General features: G+C 39.5%; 1 protein-coding gene and 1 long non-coding RNA gene across 20 annotated transcripts in view, besides 1 other annotated feature; one reads left to right on the forward strand and one right to left on the reverse strand.

Moving 5' to 3' along the window:
• Positions 1-6786, forward strand: part of LOC105376078 (uncharacterized) — a 49773-nt gene extending 42987 nt beyond the window's left edge. Inside the window, exon 6 of the long non-coding RNA XR_007061573.1 lies at positions 1041-6786. This is a non-coding gene — a long non-coding RNA (uncharacterized LOC105376078). The remainder of the gene's footprint in view (positions 1-1040) is intronic.
• Positions 1-8122: part of a sequence alteration artifact (region identified as an assembly artifact by the Genome Reference Consortium. This region falsely duplicates sequence located at GRCh38 chr9:70719795..70737787) that runs on past the window's edge.
• The window catches only part of TRPM3 (transient receptor potential cation channel subfamily M member 3), a 917912-nt gene that overhangs the window by 182613 nt on the left and 711039 nt on the right, over positions 1-24260 (reverse strand). The gene's annotated exons all lie outside the window — the stretch shown is intronic.

The following is a 24260-nucleotide window of genomic DNA, read 5'->3' on the forward strand; positions in this document are numbered from 1 at the left end:
GCATCATTGTTGTTCAGTTCTTCAGAAAGATTATCCATCCTCTCTAACAGTGTCTTTTTTTCCTTAGTGTCACAGAGTGAAAAGAGCAAAAACTTTGGAATTAGACACATTTGTGCTTAAATCCTGGATATTTCAGTTATGGTGTTGGCTTAGGCAAAAAATCTTAATTTCTCAAATCTTAGGTTATTAATCTGTAAAACTGGATAAATAATATCTATGATATAGGGTTGTTTTGAGTCTTAAGTGAAATAGGTGCAAAGTACAAAGCATAGGGCCCGAAAGATTCCTCTATAAATAGTAACTTTAAAAAGGGGAGTCAGGAGAGAAAATACCGCATCAGATATGAACGACCTGGGCTTCACTTATTAATTTATTGAGCAAATTGTTAAACTGAGCATCTTCTTTGAATCTAGAAACGGGTGATATGATGGGCAAGATAGATATGCCTCCTTAGAGGCAAAAGGTGCAGACAGGTAAAAACACATGCAAATGTAAAAATATAAGAGAAGTGCTAAGCATGATAAGTGTCACTATGAAAGGAAGAGAAGAAGGAAAGGGGAAACTGCTTTATATAGAGTGATCAGGGAAGGCTTCCTGGAGGAGGTGATGTACAAGCTGAGAAAGAAGAATATGAAGGAGCCAGACATGTGAAGGCTGGAGGGAAGGGTTCCAGGTAGAAGAAAGGATGTTAGCAAATGTTTGAGGCCAAACAAAACTTGGTGTGTTTGAGGTACTGAATACCAGAGTGGCTGAGATGAGAGACCAGTGCCAGAACACGAGAGACACATAGGATGAAAGGACTGGCAGTTATTCCTGGGGAAAGTCTCTCTTGAGAACCTGTCACAAGAACATGCCATGTTGTAAGAAGGTTTCTCCCTTTGGTTATTAGTCTTCCCCCAACAGTCTTGGAAGTAAAATGAAGCTATTTTGTTGTAATGCAATAGTTTGCCTATATTGGAATCATTAGCATTCGATCATATCTTAGTGTTGCTCTGTGAGAGGATGGTGCATTATGGTGAATTATCTGCTGTTCTCCACAGGAGCCAAAGCTGTCTTCCTGTTAGCTCCAGAGTAAAAGTAGCCTGCAGCCCACACCCTGGGGTCTGATGAAAGGACTCACACTCCAGTCTGCATTCCTGCTGCACCTGCCAGACCCTGCTGACAAAATTTCTGTTTCTCCATTGACCAAATAAAACTGCAGTGTGGCCCCTTGGAGGGTTCCAGGAAAACTGAAGCTCCACTTCTCGTTTTTTAAGTTAGCCTGCTGCCACCTGGAGCTGAAAGCTGTAATCCCCACTCACCCTGGTGGGGACCTGACCTCTCTCCCACTGGAACCAGGTTGGTGGGAAGTAGCAAGAGAACTTGATTTCACTCCTATTTAGAGAGTCTATGTTCTCTGCTTCTGGTCTCACCTTCAAAATTAGGGCAGTGGTCTTTGATAGGATGATAACAGCAAGACAGGAGAGGTAGGCATCGGCCAAACCATGCCACTGAATGACATAACAGCTGAATGACCTCTAGCAAATTATTTATCTTCTCCAGACACTTTTTTTTGTCCCTAAAAATAGGAACAACATTATCTATCTCTTAGTGTTGTGGGGGAAGATATGAGTACAAAAAGCAATTGGCATGCTAGGTGTTAATTTATTCTTTCTTCCCTTTTTCTCTTCCCTTCCCTTCTCTGGTCAGTGAGTGCTTCTCCCTCTTTTCTGTCTCTTATTATTGAATATCTCATCTTTCGTATGTGATGTGGTGGTGAATCCCAGGTGGGCATTCTCACCACTTGTTATATCATGGCCAAGTGCTTGGAGAAAGATGTGATCACAATATTGAAAATTAAGTCATTTAGAGTCAATTTCACTTAATTATGCTCTCTCTCTCTGCCCCAACATCCACCAGGCCTGCTCTCAATGTGCAATGTTGCTTCATTTGGTAGTATCCTTGGAAAATGAGGGGTTTCATATAAATGAGTTTTTAGAGCTTTTTCAAGAAAAATTAAGCCCATCTTTTTGTGGCAAATTGTAGCAGGCCTTCTCTTAGGCCCAAAGGCACAGTAGCAAATACAATGTGTAAGTGGTAATGGTGCTGATGCAAGAATTTTCTTAGATCAGAAAGTCCCACCTGGGGAGATTTTAACATCTTTCACACTCAGGCCATACCTCGGGCCAATTACATCAGAATCTCTAGGGGTGGGATCCAGGCATCAGTATTTTTTAAAGCTTCCAGGTGATTCGAATGTGCAACCAAAGATGCGGAACCACTGCTATTCAGTTTCTTAACGCTCGAAACCTCTGAATGTGTCTATGTTTCTATGAATTAAAAAAGAACACTATAATCATGTGTTTGCTGCAGGGCAACATTATGGCCCACAGGGATGGGGGTGAATGAAGCCTCAGTCAGAAGCAGACACATCTTTATGGAAATGACCATGAGAGGCCAGCTCTGGCAAGGCATGAGTATTGGCCACCACAGCTGATAGCCATGTGCCCATAACAAACAGTGGAATTGTGCCAGTTTTCAAAGGGAATTCTTACAACCATTGTGGAAGACAGTGTGGTGATTCCTCAAGGATCTAGAACTAGAAATACCATTTGACCCAGCCATCCCATTACTGAGTATATACCCAAAGGATTATAAATCATGTTGCTATAAAGACACATGCACACGTATGTTTATTGTGGCACTATTCACAATAGCAAAGACTTGGAACCAACCCAAATGCCCATCAATGATAGACTGGATTAAGAAAATGTGGCACATATACACCATGGAATACTATGCAACCATAAAAAAGGATGAGTTCATGTCCTTTGTAGGGACATGGATGAAGCTGGAAACCGTCATTCTGAGCAAACTATTGCAAGGACAAAAAACCAAATACTGCATGTTCTCACTCATAGGTGGGAATTGAACAATGAGAACACCTGGACACAGGAAGGGGAACATCACACACTGGGGCCTGTCGTGGGGTGGGGGGGAGGAGGGAGGGATAGCATTAGGAGATATACCTAATGTAAATGACGAGTTAACGGGTGCAGCACACCAACATGGCACATGTATACATATGTAACAAACCTGCACATTGTGCGCATGTACCCTAGAACTTAAAGTATAATAATAATAGAAAAAAAAAGCCAGTGGAATTGGGCAGTAGAATAAAGGAAACACAGAAAGTCAGATGAGAAGGTGAAAGAAGAGAAATGGTATTTAATATAAAGGAGAGGTTAGCTGGTAAAACATTTAAATACCCTTCAAGGGAGAAGATGGTTAAGTAAAACAGATAAAAAGCCAAAGATAAATGATAAAGTGATTGATAGTCTTTAGGCAGTATACATATATCTTCCCCAATTAGGATAATTTTCTCAGATCAAGGTTTGGGTTTGATGAAGGTAGGTAATATATTGAGAGACTGATATATTGAGCTCTACATCAGGCCAACGCACTTGGCTGAAACCTTGAAATCTGATGAATGTATTCATTTACTAAGCATCACCTCTAACAAGATGAAGCATAAATATTGATATAGAAGAAAGTGTAGATGAATGTATTCAAATAATAGGAGGTATTTTATGTCAACTGATTAGCAAGGAAGAGAAAGCACAAAGTATCTGGTTTTCAGACACCTGGCTTACAAGTAATCTATGCATATAGATAGTTTCCCTAGCTCCTTCCTGTCTATTTTCTTCTCAACCCTCTACTAAAATACAACGGGTGAAAAATGCAACAAAACTTATAGGTTTGAACAAATATTGTGGAATCAGAAGTGGAGAAAGGGAATAAGCTGGAAAATATCTGTTTATTTTGGAGCAGTGATTTCCAAACTTTAGTTTTGTGTCCTTTAGTCAAATTAGTTTTACTGGGAAGGGTTAGAGAACTAAAATAAATTTAAAACAGAAGAAGAGTGGCCCAGGGTCCTTTATGTTCAGTCTCCATTATTCTCCTTACCCTTACCCACACTGGAGATGCTGAAGGAAGCAGAGTTTGGGAATGATTGGAATATGAGTTGCATAGAAGGAGATTGCTAAGAAGATTCGGCATTTTATGTGGCATTCCCACCCCTTCCTAACCCCTCTGACCTGTATTTCCCCTTGACTTTGTCATACTGCCTTGACCCCCAATCAGTCATTCCTTTGGATCAATATGTGTCCTCTGCTGAAAGTACAAGCACATTATGAGGTCAAAGAGCCATCAGTCCCACATACATGAGTGTGAACTTAATAATGCCACTAGCCTCCAGATTCCTAGGTGAGTTCGTTTGTGGTGAGGAAATGGAGCTGCAGGACGTGGGAGACGGGTAATGCTGGGGAAGGATGATGGGGAAGTCCTGTTAGTGTGTCTCTAGGGATTTTGGGGGTACCCTGGGAGCAATGCTGCAGAAGAGGGAACAGGTTCTGAAAAGAAACATTGCCTATTATTTTTTATTTTCTGGAATCAATCCTGTCCCGAGGAAGGGGGTGGCAATCTCTTTCTTCTTCCTACCACATTTCTTGGTTTCTTGTTCCCAGTGTCTTTATAGCAAATGAGACTTTTGCTTAATTATTTACATTGCTTGATGAGAAAATTGATTCCGGTTTGTAAATAGATCCCTGGATCACAGCCCATTTATAAGCTGATGACTTCCTAAAATGCACAATTGACTGTTTTGTGTGGAAGAGATTACCTCTAAAAAAACTGTTAATGAGAAATGTGTACGTTTGAACACTTAAAACATGCTTAAAGAACATTAAATATTTATCCAAATGTGGCACCTCTGAGGACTATGAGGAGTTTATGGCTTCTGTGATTTTAACTTAGTTGCTACCACGGAGAGGACCCCAGAGCAGTGGTTCTTAACTCTTGAGAGTTATTGATACCTTGGGGAATCTGAGGACTGTATTCATCTTCCTATGATATGCAAGCACACTCCAAATCTTGCATGCATTTTCAGAGGTTTCACAGAACTCCCTAAAGACTTTTGAGTTTTCAGGGTCTTTGAGCTAAGAATTGTTACTCAATTGACTGGAGGAGTAACACTGGCCTGTGTATATGAGAAAAATCCCTATTTGGGAATAGGTTGTCACTTAGGATAAGAGAGTCTATCCCTATCCTATAGGGTCTACTGTATTTAACAACTGAAAAAGGAGTCAAGGGCTTGTATATCTCCCAAACAAATACATTGGGGAGTCTGTGTTCTGCCCCTTATACCTGGGAAATTCACCAAGAATCTATAGTGCTATAAAGATTGAAGATGGGACATCCCTACAATATTCTTTCCTAATGGAGGATTTAGGAAAGACTTATTTATTCTCATTCATTCTTACTACATCTATTGAACACCAATTTTGTGGAAAGTCACTGTGCTAGGTGTAGTAAGGGGACACAAAAATGTATAAGGCCTGCTCTTTTTTTAAGTTGCATGCCATTTTGTAGCAGACATAAACTTTGTATCCTAATAGTATAGGGCTCAGGAGAGCATGCTCTGAAACTTACTGTCCCTTTCAGCTGTGTTCCTTGGGGATGTTACTGTGCCTTGGTTTCCTCATCTGTAAAATGCAGATAATAGCAGGATGACCATATAATTTATAATTTAAGTCAGGATACCTTTGTAAGTGGAGGGCTGCTATTAATAGTTACGCTGGGCCACAAGCACAAACTGGGCTATCTCAGGAAAATGAGGACCATGATCACTCTAGTGTGGAAAGATTATCCTAGGGATTGAAGAAGGCAATGCATAGGACATTATCACATCATGTCTGTGGCTGGGCAAATGTTATCTGCTGTGATTGGTGTTATGGGTACCTAAAAGAAAAAGTGATATTTGAATTTATAGGGGAGACGGATGATTATTTCTTAAGACCAACATTTATTATATACTCTTTATGGGCTATTGGCTCAAACCAGTGAAAGAAAACAATAAAATTAGAACTCCTTCTGCAAAACAGTCCTTTCATGGGCATGATAAGTATCTCCACTAGCTGCAACATGTTTCTATTCTGGTCCTGCTTTCCTGTGCATTACAGTCCCATCCCTTTACCTGTCTATCAAAAGTTTTCTTCAGTTCCTCATAGTGATCTTTGATTCAATATATATCTGACTGAAACAAATGGTGGATAGGAGGCAGGACAAACTTGCAGCTCCTGTCAGACAGATAGAGAAGTGTGTGGAGACTCACACTGTGAGCTTTTGCTCCAAGAACTACCACAAAAACACATCAGGAAAGCTGACAGCATCCACAGACCCTTTGAAGGAAGCAGATTGCTGCTGCAGGCCCATAGAGACAGCTGAAAAACTCGAAGACAAAGGGCATAATCTCTTGGGAACTCTATGGGCCTGCCCACCACCTGATCTTACCTATACTACCGCAGCTGATGCTCTCTTGAAAGCACCACCTCCTGGCTGGAGGCCAACCAACACAAAACTAGCACAATAAACAAAACTACAGCCAAGGACCCTCACAGAGTTTACTTCACTCCGTTGCCACCCCACCTGGAGCAGGTGCTGGTATCCATGACCAAGAGATCTGAAGACGGTTTACATCACAGGACTCTGTGCAAACACTCCCCAGTACCTGAAGCCCCATAGCTCTGCTGGGCGGCTAGATCCAGAAGAGAAATAACAATGACTGCAGTTAAGTTCTCTGGAAGCCCCTTTCCTAGAGGAAGGGAGAGAATACTATATCACGGGAGCACGCTGCGGGACAAAAGAATCTGAACAGCAGCCCTTGAGCCCCAGATCTTCCCTCTGCAATAGTCTACCCAAATGAGAAGGAACAAGAAAAACAATTGTGGTAATATGACAAAACAAAACAAGTTCATTAACACCCCCAAAAGATCAGCAATGGATCCAAACCGAGAAGAAATCTGAATTGCCAGAAAGAGAATTCAAAAATGTCAATTATTATGCTAATCAGGTAGTCACCAGAGAAAGGTAAAGTCCAACTCAAAGAAATTTGAAAAATGATATAAGATGTGAAGGGAAAACTCTTCAGTGAAATAGATAGCATAAATAAAAAACAAAAGCAACTTCTGGAAAGGAAGGACACACTTAGAGAAATGCAAAATGCACTGGAAAGTCTCAGCAACAGAATCAAACAAGTAGAAGAAAGAACTTCAGAGCTCAAAGACAGGCTATCGAATTACCTTAGTCCATTCAAAGACAAAGAGGAAAGAATTTTTAAAAAATGAACAAAGCCTCCAAGAAGTTTGGGATTATGTTAAATGACGAAACCTAAGAATAATTGGCGTTCCTGAGGAAAACGAGAAATCTGAAAGTTTGGAAATCACATTGGAGGAAATAATTGAGGAAAACATCTCCAGCTTTGCTAGAGATCTAGACATCCAAATATAAGAAGTTCAAAGAACACATGAAAAATTAATCACAAGAAGATCATCACCTAGGCACATCGTCATCAGGTTATCTAAAGTCAAGATGCAGGAAATAATCTTATGAGCTGTGAGGCAAAAGCATCAGGTAACCTATAAAGGAAAACCTATCAGATTAACAGCAGATCTCTCAGCAGAAATCCTGCAAGCTAGAAGAAATTGGGGCCCTATATCTAGCCTCCTTAAATAAAATAATTATCAGCTAAGAATTTTGCATCTAGCGAAACTAAGATTCATAAATGAAGGAAAGATACAGTCTTTTCCAGACAAACAAATGCTGAGAGAACTCACCACTACCAAGCCAGCACTGCAAGAACAGCTAAAAGGAGCTCTAAATCTTGAAACAAATTCTGGAAAATACACCAAAAGAGAACTCCTTTAAAGCATAAATCTCAAAGGACCTATAAAACAAAAACACACTGAAAACAACAAGAACAACAATAACAACAACAAGGTATTCAGGCAACAAACAGCATGATGAATATAATAGTACCTCACATCTCAATACTAATGTTGAATGTAAATGGTCTAAATGCTCCAATTAAAAGACACAGAATGGATAAGAATTCACCAACCAAGTATTTGTTATCTTCAAGAGACTCACCTAACACATAAGGACTCACATAAACTTAAGGTAAAGGAGTGGAAAAAAATATTCCATGCAAATGGACACCAAAAGCGACAAGGAATAGCTATTCTTATATCAGACAAAACAAACTTTAAAGCAACAGCAGTTAAAAAATTCAAAGAGGGACATTAAATAACAGTAATGAAAGCAACTGCAGTGTCCACCGCTCCTCTAAGCATTGTACATGTGTGAGTCTACATCTTCCCAGTGATGTTCAGTATTATCATTCTTATTCCAGTAGGGATAACACAGATTTAAAAAGGTAGACTATCTACTGAAAGTCACATGGCTAGAATTCCCATGCTGTGTAGTCTGTGGCAGGCCTCTCCACTCATTTGGATTTTGTGGAGGGACAGAAGGGGAATGAGTGAAAGCCTCAATGAGGTCAGAGGTAGTATTCCATATTAATTTCAATGGTCACTATTTTTGAGCAAGTAAAGAACCTACTGAGAGAACAACAGGTTGAGCAGCAACAGAGCCTGTGTGGTCATCAGAGAGGCCTGCTGGCCCTTGGGGCCACATTAAGCAGCTGCTTTGTCACTGGAGCCACACTTCCCCTTATTTTGTATAGTTCATTCCTCTACTCAATGGACCCTTGAAAGAAAAGCCCACTACCGGTGGGAAGAAAAGAACCATGACAGTTTGTCAACTTCCTCTTTGTTCTCTAAAGTACAGAATTCAATCTCCTCTTATTTCCTGGAAAACCATCAATTTACAGGACAGGGTAAAAAGAATCTTAGTTATAAAGAAAGAGCCAGGCCTACACTACAGACTTGAACTTGCTCTCTAATCCTTTGGCAAGAGCACCTACTGACTGGTCACATTATTCAAATGTATTTTATCACTGATCATCATCTCTTTTAAACTTTGCCTTTTCAGTAGAGAATTCTCTAAATGCCCACAAGTAGAACTAGCATGGAATAAAGCAAGCTGTTAAAGAAAGTCGAATTCCAAAAAGTTGGCTTGGTAAAATAGCATGAAAAGGTGTATATTTTTAGCTAGAAATTACAAACCTGCTGCATTTAAGTGAGGCAACAGTTGCACAAAGTACAACGTAATTATTTTCTGTCCCGTGCCTGTCTTTGAGTCTGTCACTTTGCTATTCACTTATGGACATCAGTGAGAGATGTTTCTTTCCTTTTTAACCTCTCCCTTGTCAGTCCATTGCAGGAAAGTACTCCTTAGCTTGAAAGTTATGTACAGGTAGAGGCATACAAACATTCGAGAAACATTCAAATGCTTAGTCCCTGTCTCATACAAACCCTGCACTTCAGCTGGTTATGTTTTCTCCTTCTTTATTTCTTCCCGCCCTTTCAAATGTATTAACGAAGAGCCTTTAAAGTGTCAGGCATTGTGTGAAGGCCTGGGGAGACTGTGTGTGTGTGTGTGTGTGTGTTTGTATACACTGTGCCTGTCTTTAGGATCACTTGTGCCCTTTATCTCAAATTTTGGATGACTGGGTAGATACTGGGTAGATGAAATTTAATCATCCCTTTTTTACTAAACTTTAAGGACACCATGATTTTTTGTTTCTACACAGTAGAAACTATAGGTAGGTGAAGCTCAAAGTTTATAACCTCAAAAATTTCATTATTACAGCAATTTTATTAGCTAAAAGAGCAAATATAATTTTTAGGTGATGAGTAAGATGTACCTAATAGAGACATTTTTGGAGCCATGGTTATTTCAAATAAAAAAATAGGATTTTTTAGTAGCTAAATTTAGCAGTGAGGACAATTACAAAATTAAGTACTACTCAATAGGTCCCTAAAATTCTGAATGAAAAGAAAATTCATGGGTTTATACCAGGTATAATAGACAATTCTAATTCCTTGAAAATAAATGAGGTTTCGTTTTTATTCACTCTTTAGAAAAGAAAAACCTAGCTTTTATTAGGCAGTAGGGTCTGTTTGAGAAAATACCATTTTAGTGGCTCTTCATAATTATGGTGTCAGTCTAAAAAGCAGCTAATGCCACGTTCTAGCCAAATATGAGAACTCCATGGGCTTAAGGCTTGAGACAAGTAAGGCAGTCCCTAAAATAAATTGGGTAACTGGAAGAAGAATTCTTTTTCAGAAGGAGAAATATGTGAATGGTAAGCCCTATAATTGCTGAGGACATTAACTTATCAATTATCTCATCATCTTTTAAAAACATATATAATTAATTTTTTAAAAAAGTAGAGATGGGGTGTCACTATGTTGCTCAGGTTGGTTTTGAACTCCTGGGCTCAAGCGTTCTGCCCTCCTTGGCCTCCCAAAGTGCTGGGATTTCAGGTGAGAGCTGCCGCGCAGGCCCATCTCCTCCTCTTTAAACGAAAGGCTACCCAAAGCATAACTACCATGCTGCCAGGGACTAACAAGGAAAACAACCCACAGCCACAAGCATCCTGGATGCTTTGAAAGAGGGGCAGGCTTGGGGACATTTTCCAAGTTGCTTGGTGTTTAGAACCTATCCATCAGGCTAGTTCAGTTCCTCCAAAAATTCCCAGAGGTGAGAGGCAGTCAACAGCTTTGCTGGGCATGACAAGTTTCATTTCAAGGAGCCCAGCTTGTAATTTCAAGCAGACTGCTGTTGTAGGCCCAATCAACTCAGAGTTTCAATTGTTTTTCAAGCATTGCTTCATTGAACACACTCAGCAATCACAGAACCACCCGTGTCAACGTGGCAAGGACTGGGAAAGAACTCACAAGTCACTTAACAGAAAAGCATATTTTAGCAGTTTTCTGAAACAATTGTCCTAAACATACCTTTTTACAGTGACTGATCCTAACTTTCTGATATGGACTTGGAAAAAAGACATTTCTGGAACTGGCATACAATCAGGGAGGAGCTGGTAATGTACAAATACTGCCTTGTGAAAGAATATTGGATGCTCTTGTTCTCACTCCTACTCCAAATTGTTATTGGGCTTTACCTATGGTTTCTAAAATCATCAGGTTTTAAGAAGTCATTTTACATTTACATTCACACACACTTAAACACACATCAAATACATTTATCACATATACACATTAAACACACACACACACACACACACACACACTGATGATAAAAATGGAATTTCCCGGAATAATCCCCGCTTCAAATATTCTCTCCAGTTTTTAGCTCACATCCAAGACCATCTATTTTAAATTTTTAGCTTCCAAAATATGGTCACTGAATCAAGATGATCCATATTATGACTCTAAGACTGAAATTCAGATTTTGATTCAACAGATATTTTCTTAACACTTTCTTCAGATGTGGGGATGATATTTCAATGCAATATCTTATGAAATCAGAGGATCTTTATTACATGGAATATAGCATATTTTGTCCTTGATTTTCCTCAGTAACATATAATGGACCTATTGCGATACTCTTGAATGAAACAGACAATGCATAGAAGCTTTTAGAAAAATGGATTTCTGTAAAAATAAAAAATAAACATCATATGTTGAAACTTATGTTTCAACATATAATATTTATTATTTCTTATATAACAATATAATTTTATTATAATATATATTTAATATAATTTAATATAAATAACAATATAAATAATATAATAATGTATAACAATATAATATATCAGGCCACTTAAGTGGCTCTTGCCTTGAGCAAGTCATCTAACTTCTTGTTTTCCTTTCTTTTTGAGACAGGGTCTTGCTCTGTCATCCAGGGTGGAGTGCAGTGGTGCAATCATAGCTCACTGTAACCTTGAACTCCTGGGCTTAAGCGATCCTCTTGCCTCAGCCTCCCTAGTAGCTGGGACCATAGGCATGCACCTCCCTGCCCGACTAATTAAAACAAAATTATTTGTAGACATGGGGTCTCACTCTGTGGCCCAGGCTGATCTTGAACTCCTGGCCTCAAGTGATCCTCCAGCCTTGGCCTCCCACAGTGCTGGGATTATAGGTGTGAGCCATGGTGCCTGGCTGTAACTTCTTGTTTTACAGATGAAAACACTATCTCCTTCATAAATTGTGAGAAAAATAAATTAATATGCACAAAAACAGTTTAAAAAGACCCTGGTATATACTTGGAGAAATTGGACTAACTTAATAGATGGGCTTAAAAAGTAACCTGGATAATGAAAGTGTTCAGTAAATGTTGTTGCTATTGTTGTCATTATTTAAAGTCCCAGTTTCCTCATCTGTAACTGAAGGGGTAGATTTAATCTTAATGATCTCTACAGTTTCTTTCCTTTGGTGATGCTCTGTTGCCTGTCCTTTAAGTTTCTATGAAGTGACCAATACAGAATATGAGTTGGTCAGGTTAACATTTAATATAAATAAAAATTTACCGTGAGGTGTTAAGAGCTGATAGCAGAAACAGGAGCATAAGAGTAACTGTTTTGTCTTGTTTTATGCAAATAACTTCCCTGTGTTTGCTTTTTTATAATGACAAAATGATGAAATGGTAATAAGCAGGCAATTTCCACCAGGGGCTTAAAAACTTGGCCTAGTTTTGAATGTTTTAGGGTCCAGAAGGAGAGAAACCTAGCTCAGCCTTAACAGGAAGCAGAACAGCTTGTCAATCGGTTGTTTTAGCTCCCTGGAGTCTCATTCTGATATGGTAATTTTGTGTTATAAATCTGGGAGAATGTTGGACAGGCTGAGGTCCAGTTATTCCAACAACTGCTACTGTAAATCCTTCATTCCCTCAGTAGTTGCCCTCTTCCTCAAATATCTTTCCATGCAGAGTAAATGCTAGTTATGGGGGCTATAAACTGCTTAAAATTAGGCTTTGGGCTAGAGAGTGTGTCTTCTCCTGTAAAAACAAGCTTTTCCTTATATTTTCCAGTATTTTGGCTCCAACAAAATCCAAGGGCTATATTTCTTGCTCCCAAATGCATAGAAAAAGTAATTTAAAAAATTTTTAAAAATGTAAATACTAATGAGAGGCAAAGCAGTCAAGAAGATACCATTTCTCTAGGTACCAACAGTTCAAACAATAAAAATATACTTATTTATCAATAATTTGATTTCAATAATATTTTACAAAATGAACCACTTCTGATCAGATATAGATTTATTGGTAATACTGCTTGCAAAACAATTCAAAAGGAAAAGAAAGACAAAGTGAAATAGAGCTTGTATGAGAGAGAGAATGAAAGATTATCTTTGGTGGTTCTAATTGATTTCTGACATTGTCCCCAACATAGCTTTTGTTGCATGTAAAGAATACTCTGTACAGTGGCCCAAGGCTACTTCAATAATAGTTCACTGTTTTGTTAGTCAACAGCTGGCTTGTATGTGACCTTGATGTTTGTATTATACCCAGGAAACAGGAGACTTACGATGGGACTTTGACCAGGGCCAGCATTATAACCACATTAATGGAGAATGCAAATTCAAATTGAGGTGGGGCTGGCAGGAGTTCATCATTGAAAGGCTGCATTCATCACAGATGTCAAGTACAGGCTGGGTCTTCATATTTCTTTTTCTCATACAATGACTTCTTCTCCTGTGGCTCTTTCACATGGACTGTGTATTCAGGGGACAAAGCTTCTGCAGTAGGCTTTGAGTAAGGTCAAACTCCATGGTGCCTAAGAGTCTAGGACACTCACTAAAATTGCCCAGTAAAATGTCTGGACATTAAATAAATTGTATTATATGAAATTCATGAGTGGGAAGGGCAAGCACTAAGGGTCATTTCTGTATTATGGTATTTAACAATTGCTTCCATTCAAATGCTACAATATTATGCAGTCTGTAGTAGATGTCCATGCACAGCATTCACATTCAACTTTAATATTTAGGAAAGCTTTTGTTAGGCAGACGTGGGAGTGGTATGCTAATCAATATGAACTTTTCTCAAGTGTTCTTAATAGGGTAATAACACTGATGCCAGGATAACCTTGAAGTTTATATTTGCCGAGGTAGATATCCTGCAGAAAGAAGTTTTGAGAACTATAGTAGAAATGGAAGAAAAATATATTAATAGCATAGACTTGGGTATCCTTATAACCAGATACGTACTCTTTTCTAAAACCATCGCTAAAAGGGCTTAGGTGCTATTGGTAACTTCCTCCTAGTTTAAAACTCAGCCTAATGTTTTCAGTGGTGGGGAGGGATCTGACTCTATGAAATAATGAATTGTTCAGCCTTAAAAATATGTTTATAAACAGCATGAAAAAATGTAAATATTTTATGGCTAAATGAAAACTTTCACTGTATAGATATATGCAACATGATTACCACTGTGTTCAAAACAACGTAAAATAAACCTAAAACCTTATACACAGAAAAAAATACCTTAGAAGAAAATTCAGCAAAAGTCATTGGTGTTGTGGGGCTGTGGAAGATCTTTTTCCTCTGTTTATATTTTGATAGTTTTAAAATTTTCTATAATAAGCATATTTCTAATTAGTATATATTACTTTCACAATAGAAAAAATAAACTGGATCAAAGCTATACTCAACTTCAAGATGACTGTTCACTGAGAAATGTGAAATTAATATGAAATATGAAAGAAAACTCTTACTATGTAAATGAATCACAGAATCCAAGAAAGATGTGCCGGATGGGAACTAGAGGTCATCTAGATTGCATTCTGTCTAATCAGATCATATGAAGGTAAGATTTCTGGGCTGAAGAGTTAAAAGTGTATCCTTCTCACATTAGAAGAGAGAAATGGAAAGAATCCAAGCTTTTTATTCAAACAAGGCTGGATTTAAATTTTGATGCTGCTTCTTAACTTTCTGTGTCCTTTGGGCAAATTATTTAACCTCTCTAAGATTTAGAAAAGAAAGATGGCAATAGTGCCTACTTCTTAAAATGGTTTTTAGATTTAAATGAGAATGGGGAAGATAGATACGTAGGTAGGTAGATAGATGTAGATACATACGTACACATATTGCCGAATACCTAATATGCAGCTTTTTAGCATTATTATTATCAAAGCCTCTTTTATTCCTCAGTGGCCATTGGCTAGAAATATTTTGATATCATTTCTTTTGGGTTTAAAAGAGAAGGAAGATAACCACTGAAATCTCTTTGTCCTTTTTTAAAAAAAAGCATGGTAAGCACATTTAACATGAGATCTACCCTTTCAACAGACTTTTAACTGTGAAATACAGTATTTTTAACTACAGGACAAATGTGCAATGGATCTCTATAACTTACTTATTTTGTGTAAGTTCCTGTTAACTAGCAACTCACCATTTCCCCCTCTCTGCAGCCCCTGGCAACCACCACTGTGCTGTCTGCTTCTACAGGTTTGACTATTTCAGATTCCCCAGAGTCGTGTGTCTTCCAATACTGATAGAATAGTATTGAAGACCATGGTATATTTTTTTATGGACAAGAGTATTGTGATATCATCTCTTGCTGTCTATTCTCCTTCAGCTTCTTCCCTTAGTTTTTCTTTTCCTATAGCGCAGAATCTCTTCTGTGTCCTTTCTCCAGTCTCATTTTCTGTTGAATGGCCTCTATTCAGGATTTGTTTCCGTAACACTACTGAAACCGTACTTCTCAGGGTCATCAGTGAACTCCATCTTGCTAAATCTGGTGGCAAATTTTTATTCCTTTTAGTATGTGATATATTAGCACAAGATGGTTTCCTTCTCCTGGAAGTTCTTTTTTCACTTAGCTTCTAGGACATCACATCTTTCTGGTCTTCTTTCCATCTCACTGGCTGCTTCTTTTCAGGTCTCCTTTGTGGGGCCCTCCTTCTCTCTCCCATCTATAAATGTCACAGTGCTTGGGTTTCAGCTCTTGTTCCTTGCTCCACCCACATTCCCTCCTCAGTAAGCGCATTATCTTCCATGGTGGGAATACAGTCTATATGCTAATTGGTCTCAAATTCGTATCTCCTACTCCGATTTCTCCCTGAAGTTCAGGTCATAAATCCAACCGCCTCCTTTATTACTATCTGGATGTCCAGTAGGCATCTAAAAATTATCATGTCCAAAACAAAACTCTTGTTTCCACTTCCTCAAAAATCCACCCCTTCCCCATGCTTCCCTGGTTTATTAGAAGGCAACTCCATTTTCCCCAATCACCCTTGAAATAATCCAGAACTCTTCTCTTTACCTCATACCCATCATCTACAGCAAGTCCTGTTGCCTCCACCTTCAAACTTGATTTCCAGTCCAACCACTTCTCACCATCTCTTAGCTCAGCCCACAGCACCTACACTGGACTGGAGTGTAATGCCTGCATTACTTTGTAGTCTCCTAAATGATCTCCTAGTTTATATATTTGGCAGGTGCCAGAATGATCCTTTAAAACTCTAAATTAGATCATATTATTACTCTGCTCAAAACCATCTAATGGCTTCTCATCCCACTCAGAATAAAACCTAAACTATTTATCATGTTCTGCTTCTCCAGCATCATCTCCTATCACTGCCGGCCTTACTTGCTTTTCTCCAGGCACACCAGCCTTCTTGCTGTGTCTCAGACACGACAGGCATGTTCCTGCCTCAGAGCCTTTGCACCCACTCCTCCGTCTCCCTGGAATATTTTGCCGTCAGATCTTTGCTTGGCAGCTGGCTCCCTCACTTAGTACTAGGTTCTCATCTTTAAGTATCACATCTTCAGGGAGGGCTTCTCCAATCCCCCTTTTTATACTCTCACTCACTCTGAGCTAGGTGCTGTTCTAGGTGTTGGGGGAACAGCAGTGAATAGAGAGCTCCTCCTCTCTGAGGTTTACCCCACCTCGTCCTATCCCATCCCATCTCATTGCTCTGCACCTATTAAGTTCTTCTTTTAATTTTTTTTCTCATTGTACATATTATTGCCTGGTACCTTTCCATATATTTATTTTCTTCTTTATTTACAATCTCTTCTCTGTTAGAATGTAGGCTGAATGAGGACAGGTACTGTTGTATCCCTAGCCCCTAGAATAGTGCTTGGCAGGTGGCAGGCACTCTATAAGTGTTTCTGGAATGAATGATTGTAGAAGTAGTTTGATAAATAGAAGTCTATTGCAGGCAATAGGCAGAGACTTCATCTTGCCATATGTGACTTAGAAGGGATGTGAGTAGAATATGAATGAATGTTTCAAGCTGAAGCCTACTTCATGGATGTCACTAGCAGTTCCTGAGTACATCCTAGATGTCCATTCAGTGTTCTATACTTTATAGCTTTGAATGATGATTTGGCTTTCAAAAGATATACATGTCCATCTTGAATTTTTCGCAGTGAGTTTCGGTTGCATATGCCCCGGTTTATTTGTGTATGATATGTGCTGTGCCTGGCATCTGCTCTGCTTTCTGGCCCTCTGTGTGCCTGTGCCCAGAGGACATCTGAGAGTTAGTTGGCATATTATAAGGTAGTATCAGAAAACCTTTGCTCTGAGCCCTCTGACTGATCCTATTGGGGTTGAGAAACCTATCAAGTACTGCTAAGCTGGCAGAATGACAAAATCAACTCACACAAGGAAATAAATCAGGCGCGGTGGGCATGGAGAGCCTTGAGGACCAATGGCAGAGGAAGACAGAGATTATGGCTCATGGATGGTAGATGATTGAGGACTGGATAGAAACTGGGTTGTCCAGAAACACTATGTCTTAGCCAGAGCTGGAACATTGGCATTTGAAGCTGAAGACTAGTCCTGGCACTTTCAAGCTCTATCTGTGTTAGGATTGGGGTCCTCTCCTCCAGTCACTTTTCTTTTTGTCCATAATGGAAGTTGCAAGTTGACACTTATAAGCCCAGAGTTTTGAGATGCTGGTGGGTGTGTTTTCTGGGCAGAGTACCTTTCCCCCAGTGCTCTCAGCCAGTCCAGAGGCATCTCTCTGATGATGCAGGGTTGGGTATGATGTGCCTACACCTGCAATGAGGCACCGGAAATATAGGCATTAAGAGAGGAGATTTCCATGAGAGTCATAGAAAAGAAACTTGCCATTCAAAGTGGCTTTTTGACTTCACTGTTTCCAGGAAGTGCTATCTCTGACAGGAATTATTTCCTTGCTTTCTGCCAGTGATCGTGCATGTTTTTGGCAATGTGAAATGTGGGTGCTTGGAGGAGAAATGCACAAATAAAAGGAGAGGAAGGGAGATAAAGTAAAGGCATCATTGTTGTTCAGTTCTTCAGAAAGATTATCCATCCTCTCTAACAGTGTCTTTTTTTCCTTAGTGTCACAGAGTGAAAAGAGCAAAAACTTTGGAATTAGACACATTTGTGCTTAAATCCTGGATATTTCAGTTATGGTGTTGGCTTAGGCAAAAAATCTTAATTTCTCAAATCTTAGGTTATTAATCTGTAAAACTGGATAAATAATATCTATGATATAGGGTTGTTTTGAGTCTTAAGTGAAATAGGTGCAAAGTACAAAGCATAGGGCCCGAAAGATTCCTCTATAAATAGTAACTTTAAAAAGGGGAGTCAGGAGAGAAAATACCGCATCAGATATGAACGACCTGGGCTTCACTTATTAATTTATTGAGCAAATTGTTAAACTGAGCATCTTCTTTGAATCTAGAAACGGGTGATATGATGGGCAAGATAGATATGCCTCCTTAGAGGCAAAAGGTGCAGACAGGTAAAAACACATGCAAATGTAAAAATATAAGAGAAGTGCTAAGCATGATAAGTGTCACTATGAAAGGAAGAGAAGAAGGAAAGGGGAAACTGCTTTATATAGAGTGATCAGGGAAGGCTTCCTGGAGGAGGTGATGTACAAGCTGAGAAAGAAGAATATGAAGGAGCCAGACATGTGAAGGCTGGAGGGAAGGGTTCCAGGTAGAAGAAAGGATGTTAGCAAATGTTTGAGGCCAAACAAAACTTGGTGTGTTTGAGGTACTGAATACCAGAGTGGCTGAGATGAGAGACCAGTGCCAGAACACGAGAGACACATAGGATGAAAGGACTGGCAGTTATTCCTGGGGAAAGTCTCTCTTGAGAACCTGTCACAAGAACATGCCATGTTGTAAGAAGGTTTCTCCCTTTGGTTATTAGTCTTCCCCCAACAGTCTTGGAAGTAAAATGAAGCTATTTTGTTGTAATGCAATAGTTTGCCTATATTGGAATCATTAGCATTCGATCATATCTTAGTGTTGCTCTGTGAGAGGATGGTGCATTATGGTGAATTATCTGCTGTTCTCCACAGGAGCCAAAGCTGTCTTCCTGTTAGCTCCAGAGTAAAAGTAGCCTGCAGCCCACACCCTGGGGTCTGATGAAAGGACTCACACTCCAGTCTGCATTCCTGCTGCACCTGCCAGACCCTGCTGACAAAATTTCTGTTTCTCCATTGACCAAATAAAACTGCAGTGTGGCCCCTTGGAGGGTTCCAGGAAAACTGAAGCTCCACTTCTCGTTTTTTAAGTTAGCCTGCTGCCACCTGGAGCTGAAAGCTGTAATCCCCACTCACCCTGGTGGGGACCTGACCTCTCTCCCACTGGAACCAGGTTGGTGGGAAGTAGCAAGAGAACTTGATTTCACTCCTATTTAGAGAGTCTATGTTCTCTGCTTCTGGTCTCACCTTCAAAATTAGGGCAGTGGTCTTTGATAGGATGATAACAGCAAGACAGGAGAGGTAGGCATCGGCCAAACCATGCCACTGAATGACATAACAGCTGAATGACCTCTAGCAAATTATTTATCTTCTCCAGACACTTTTTTTTGTCCCTAAAAATAGGAACAACATTATCTATCTCTTAGTGTTGTGGGGGAAGATATGAGTACAAAAAGCAATTGGCATGCTAGGTGTTAATTTATTCTTTCTTCCCTTTTTCTCTTCCCTTCCCTTCTCTGGTCAGTGAGTGCTTCTCCCTCTTTTCTGTCTCTTATTATTGAATATCTCATCTTTCGTATGTGATGTGGTGGTGAATCCCAGGTGGGCATTCTCACCACTTGTTATATCATGGCCAAGTGCTTGGAGAAAGATGTGATCACAATATTGAAAATTAAGTCATTTAGAGTCAATTTCACTTAATTATGCTCTCTCTCTCTGCCCCAACATCCACCAGGCCTGCTCTCAATGTGCAATGTTGCTTCATTTGGTAGTATCCTTGGAAAATGAGGGGTTTCATATAAATGAGTTTTTAGAGCTTTTTCAAGAAAAATTAAGCCCATCTTTTTGTGGCAAATTGTAGCAGGCCTTCTCTTAGGCCCAAAGGCACAGTAGCAAATACAATGTGTAAGTGGTAATGGTGCTGATGCAAGAATTTTCTTAGATCAGAAAGTCCCACCTGGGGAGATTTTAACATCTTTCACACTCAGGCCATACCTCGGGCCAATTACATCAGAATCTCTAGGGGTGGGATCCAGGCATCAGTATTTTTTAAAGCTTCCAGGTGATTCGAATGTGCAACCAAAGATGCGGAACCACTGCTATTCAGTTTCTTAACGCTCGAAACCTCTGAATGTGTCTATGTTTCTATGAATTAAAAAAGAACACTATAATCATGTGTTTGCTGCAGGGCAACATTATGGCCCACAGGGATGGGGGTGAATGAAGCCTCAGTCAGAAGCAGACACATCTTTATGGAAATGACCATGAGAGGCCAGCTCTGGCAAGGCATGAGTATTGGCCACCACAGCTGATAGCCATGTGCCCATAACAAACAGTGGAATTGTGCCAGTTTTCAAAGGGAATTCTTACAACCATTGTGGAAGACAGTGTGGTGATTCCTCAAGGATCTAGAACTAGAAATACCATTTGACCCAGCCATCCCATTACTGAGTATATACCCAAAGGATTATAAATCATGTTGCTATAAAGACACATGCACACGTATGTTTATTGTGGCACTATTCACAATAGCAAAGACTTGGAACCAACCCAAATGCCCATCAATGATAGACTGGATTAAGAAAATGTGGCACATATACACCATGGAATACTATGCAACCATAAAAAAGGATGAGTTCATGTCCTTTGTAGGGACATGGATGAAGCTGGAAACCGTCATTCTGAGCAAACTATTGCAAGGACAAAAAACCAAATACTGCATGTTCTCACTCATAGGTGGGAATTGAACAATGAGAACACCTGGACACAGGAAGGGGAACATCACACACTGGGGCCTGTCGTGGGGTGGGGGGGAGGAGGGAGGGATAGCATTAGGAGATATACCTAATGTAAATGACGAGTTAACGGGTGCAGCACACCAACATGGCACATGTATACATATGTAACAAACCTGCACATTGTGCGCATGTACCCTAGAACTTAAAGTATAATAATAATAGAAAAAAAAAGCCAGTGGAATTGGGCAGTAGAATAAAGGAAACACAGAAAGTCAGATGAGAAGGTGAAAGAAGAGAAATGGTATTTAATATAAAGGAGAGGTTAGCTGGTAAAACATTTAAATACCCTTCAAGGGAGAAGATGGTTAAGTAAAACAGATAAAAAGCCAAAGATAAATGATAAAGTGATTGATAGTCTTTAGGCAGTATACATATATCTTCCCCAATTAGGATAATTTTCTCAGATCAAGGTTTGGGTTTGATGAAGGTAGGTAATATATTGAGAGACTGATATATTGAGCTCTACATCAGGCCAACGCACTTGGCTGAAACCTTGAAATCTGATGAATGTATTCATTTACTAAGCATCACCTCTAACAAGATGAAGCATAAATATTGATATAGAAGAAAGTGTAGATGAATGTATTCAAATAATAGGAGGTATTTTATGTCAACTGATTAGCAAGGAAGAGAAAGCACAAAGTATCTGGTTTTCAGACACCTGGCTTACAAGTAATCTATGCATATAGATAGTTTCCCTAGCTCCTTCCTGTCTATTTTCTTCTCAACCCTCTACTAAAATACAACGGGTGAAAAATGCAACAAAACTTATAGGTTTGAACAAATATTGTGGAATCAGAAGTGGAGAAAGGGAATAAGCTGGAAAATATCTGTTTATTTTGGAGCAGTGATTTCCAAACTTTAGTTTTGTGTCCTTTAGTCAAATTAGTTTTACTGGGAAGGGTTAGAGAACTAAAATAAATTTAAAACAGAAGAAGAGTGGCCCAGGGTCCTTTATGTTCAGTCTCCATTATTCTCCTTACCCTTACCCACACTGGAGATGCTGAAGGAAGCAGAGTTTGGGAATGATTGGAATATGAGTTGCATAGAAGGAGATTGCTAAGAAGATTCGGCATTTTATGTGGCATTCCCACCCCTTCCTAACCCCTCTGACCTGTATTTCCCCTTGACTTTGTCATACTGCCTTGACCCCCAATCAGTCATTCCTTTGGATCAATATGTGTCCTCTGCTGAAAGTACAAGCACATTATGAGGTCAAAGAGCCATCAGTCCCACATACATGAGTGTGAACTTAATAATGCCACTAGCCTCCAGATTCCTAGGTGAGTTCGTTTGTGGTGAGGAAATGGAGCTGCAGGACGTGGGAGACGGGTAATGCTGGGGAAGGATGATGGGGAAGTCCTGTTAGTGTGTCTCTAGGGATTTTGGGGGTACCCTGGGAGCAATGCTGCAGAAGAGGGAACAGGTTCTGAAAAGAAACATTGCCTATTATTTTTTATTTTCTGGAATCAATCCTGTCCCGAGGAAGGGGGTGGCAATCTCTTTCTTCTTCCTACCACATTTCTTGGTTTCTTGTTCCCAGTGTCTTTATAGCAAATGAGACTTTTGCTTAATTATTTACATTGCTTGATGAGAAAATTGATTCCGGTTTGTAAATAGATCCCTGGATCACAGCCCATTTATAAGCTGATGACTTCCTAAAATGCACAATTGACTGTTTTGTGTGGAAGAGATTACCTCTAAAAAAACTGTTAATGAGAAATGTGTACGTTTGAACACTTAAAACATGCTTAAAGAACATTAAATATTTATCCAAATGTGGCACCTCTGAGGACTATGAGGAGTTTATGGCTTCTGTGATTTTAACTTAGTTGCTACCACGGAGAGGACCCCAGAGCAGTGGTTCTTAACTCTTGAGAGTTATTGATACCTTGGGGAATCTGAGGACTGTATTCATCTTCCTATGATATGCAAGCACACTCCAAATCTTGCATGCATTTTCAGAGGTTTCACAGAACTCCCTAAAGACTTTTGAGTTTTCAGGGTCTTTGAGCTAAGAATTGTTACTCAATTGACTGGAGGAGTAACACTGGCCTGTGTATATGAGAAAAATCCCTATTTGGGAATAGGTTGTCACTTAGGATAAGAGAGTCTATCCCTATCCTATAGGGTCTACTGTATTTAACAACTGAAAAAGGAGTCAAGGGCTTGTATATCTCCCAAACAAATACATTGGGGAGTCTGTGTTCTGCCCCTTATACCTGGGAAATTCACCAAGAATCTATAGTGCTATAAAGATTGAAGATGGGACATCCCTACAATATTCTTTCCTAATGGAGGATTTAGGAAAGACTTATTTATTCTCATTCATTCTTACTACATCTATTGAACACCAATTTTGTGGAAAGTCACTGTGCTAGGTGTAGTAAGGGGACACAAAAATGTATAAGGCCTGCTCTTTTTTTAAGTTGCATGCCATTTTGTAGCAGACATAAACTTTGTATCCTAATAGTATAGGGCTCAGGAGAGCATGCTCTGAAACTTACTGTCCCTTTCAGCTGTGTTCCTTGGGGATGTTACTGTGCCTTGGTTTCCTCATCTGTAAAATGCAGATAATAGCAGGATGACCATATAATTTATAATTTAAGTCAGGATACCTTTGTAAGTGGAGGGCTGCTATTAATAGTTACGCTGGGCCACAAGCACAAACTGGGCTATCTCAGGAAAATGAGGACCATGATCACTCTAGTGTGGAAAGATTATCCTAGGGATTGAAGAAGGCAATGCATAGGACATTATCACATCATGTCTGTGGCTGGGCAAATGTTATCTGCTGTGATTGGTGTTATGGGTACCTAAAAGAAAAAGTGATATTTGAATTTATAGGGGAGACGGATGATTATTTCTTAAGACCAACATTTATTATATACTCTTTATGGGCTATTGGCTCAAACCAGTGAAAGAAAACAATAAAATTAGAACTCCTTCTGCAAAACAGTCCTTTCATGGGCATGATAAGTATCTCCACTAGCTGCAACATGTTTCTATTCTGGTCCTGCTTTCCTGTGCATTACAGTCCCATCCCTTTACCTGTCTATCAAAAGTTTTCTTCAGTTCCTCATAGTGATCTTTGATTCAATATATATCTGACTGAAACAAATGGTGGATAGGAGGCAGGACAAACTTGCAGCTCCTGTCAGACAGATAGAGAAGTGTGTGGAGACTCACACTGTGAGCTTTTGCTCCAAGAACTACCACAAAAACACATCAGGAAAGCTGACAGCATCCACAGACCCTTTGAAGGAAGCAGATTGCTGCTGCAGGCCCATAGAGACAGCTGAAAA

The sequence above is a fragment of the Homo sapiens genome, chromosome 9 (assembly GCF_000001405.40).
Source record: "Homo sapiens chromosome 9, GRCh38.p14 Primary Assembly".
Lineage (NCBI taxonomy): Eukaryota > Metazoa > Chordata > Mammalia > Primates > Hominidae > Homo > Homo sapiens.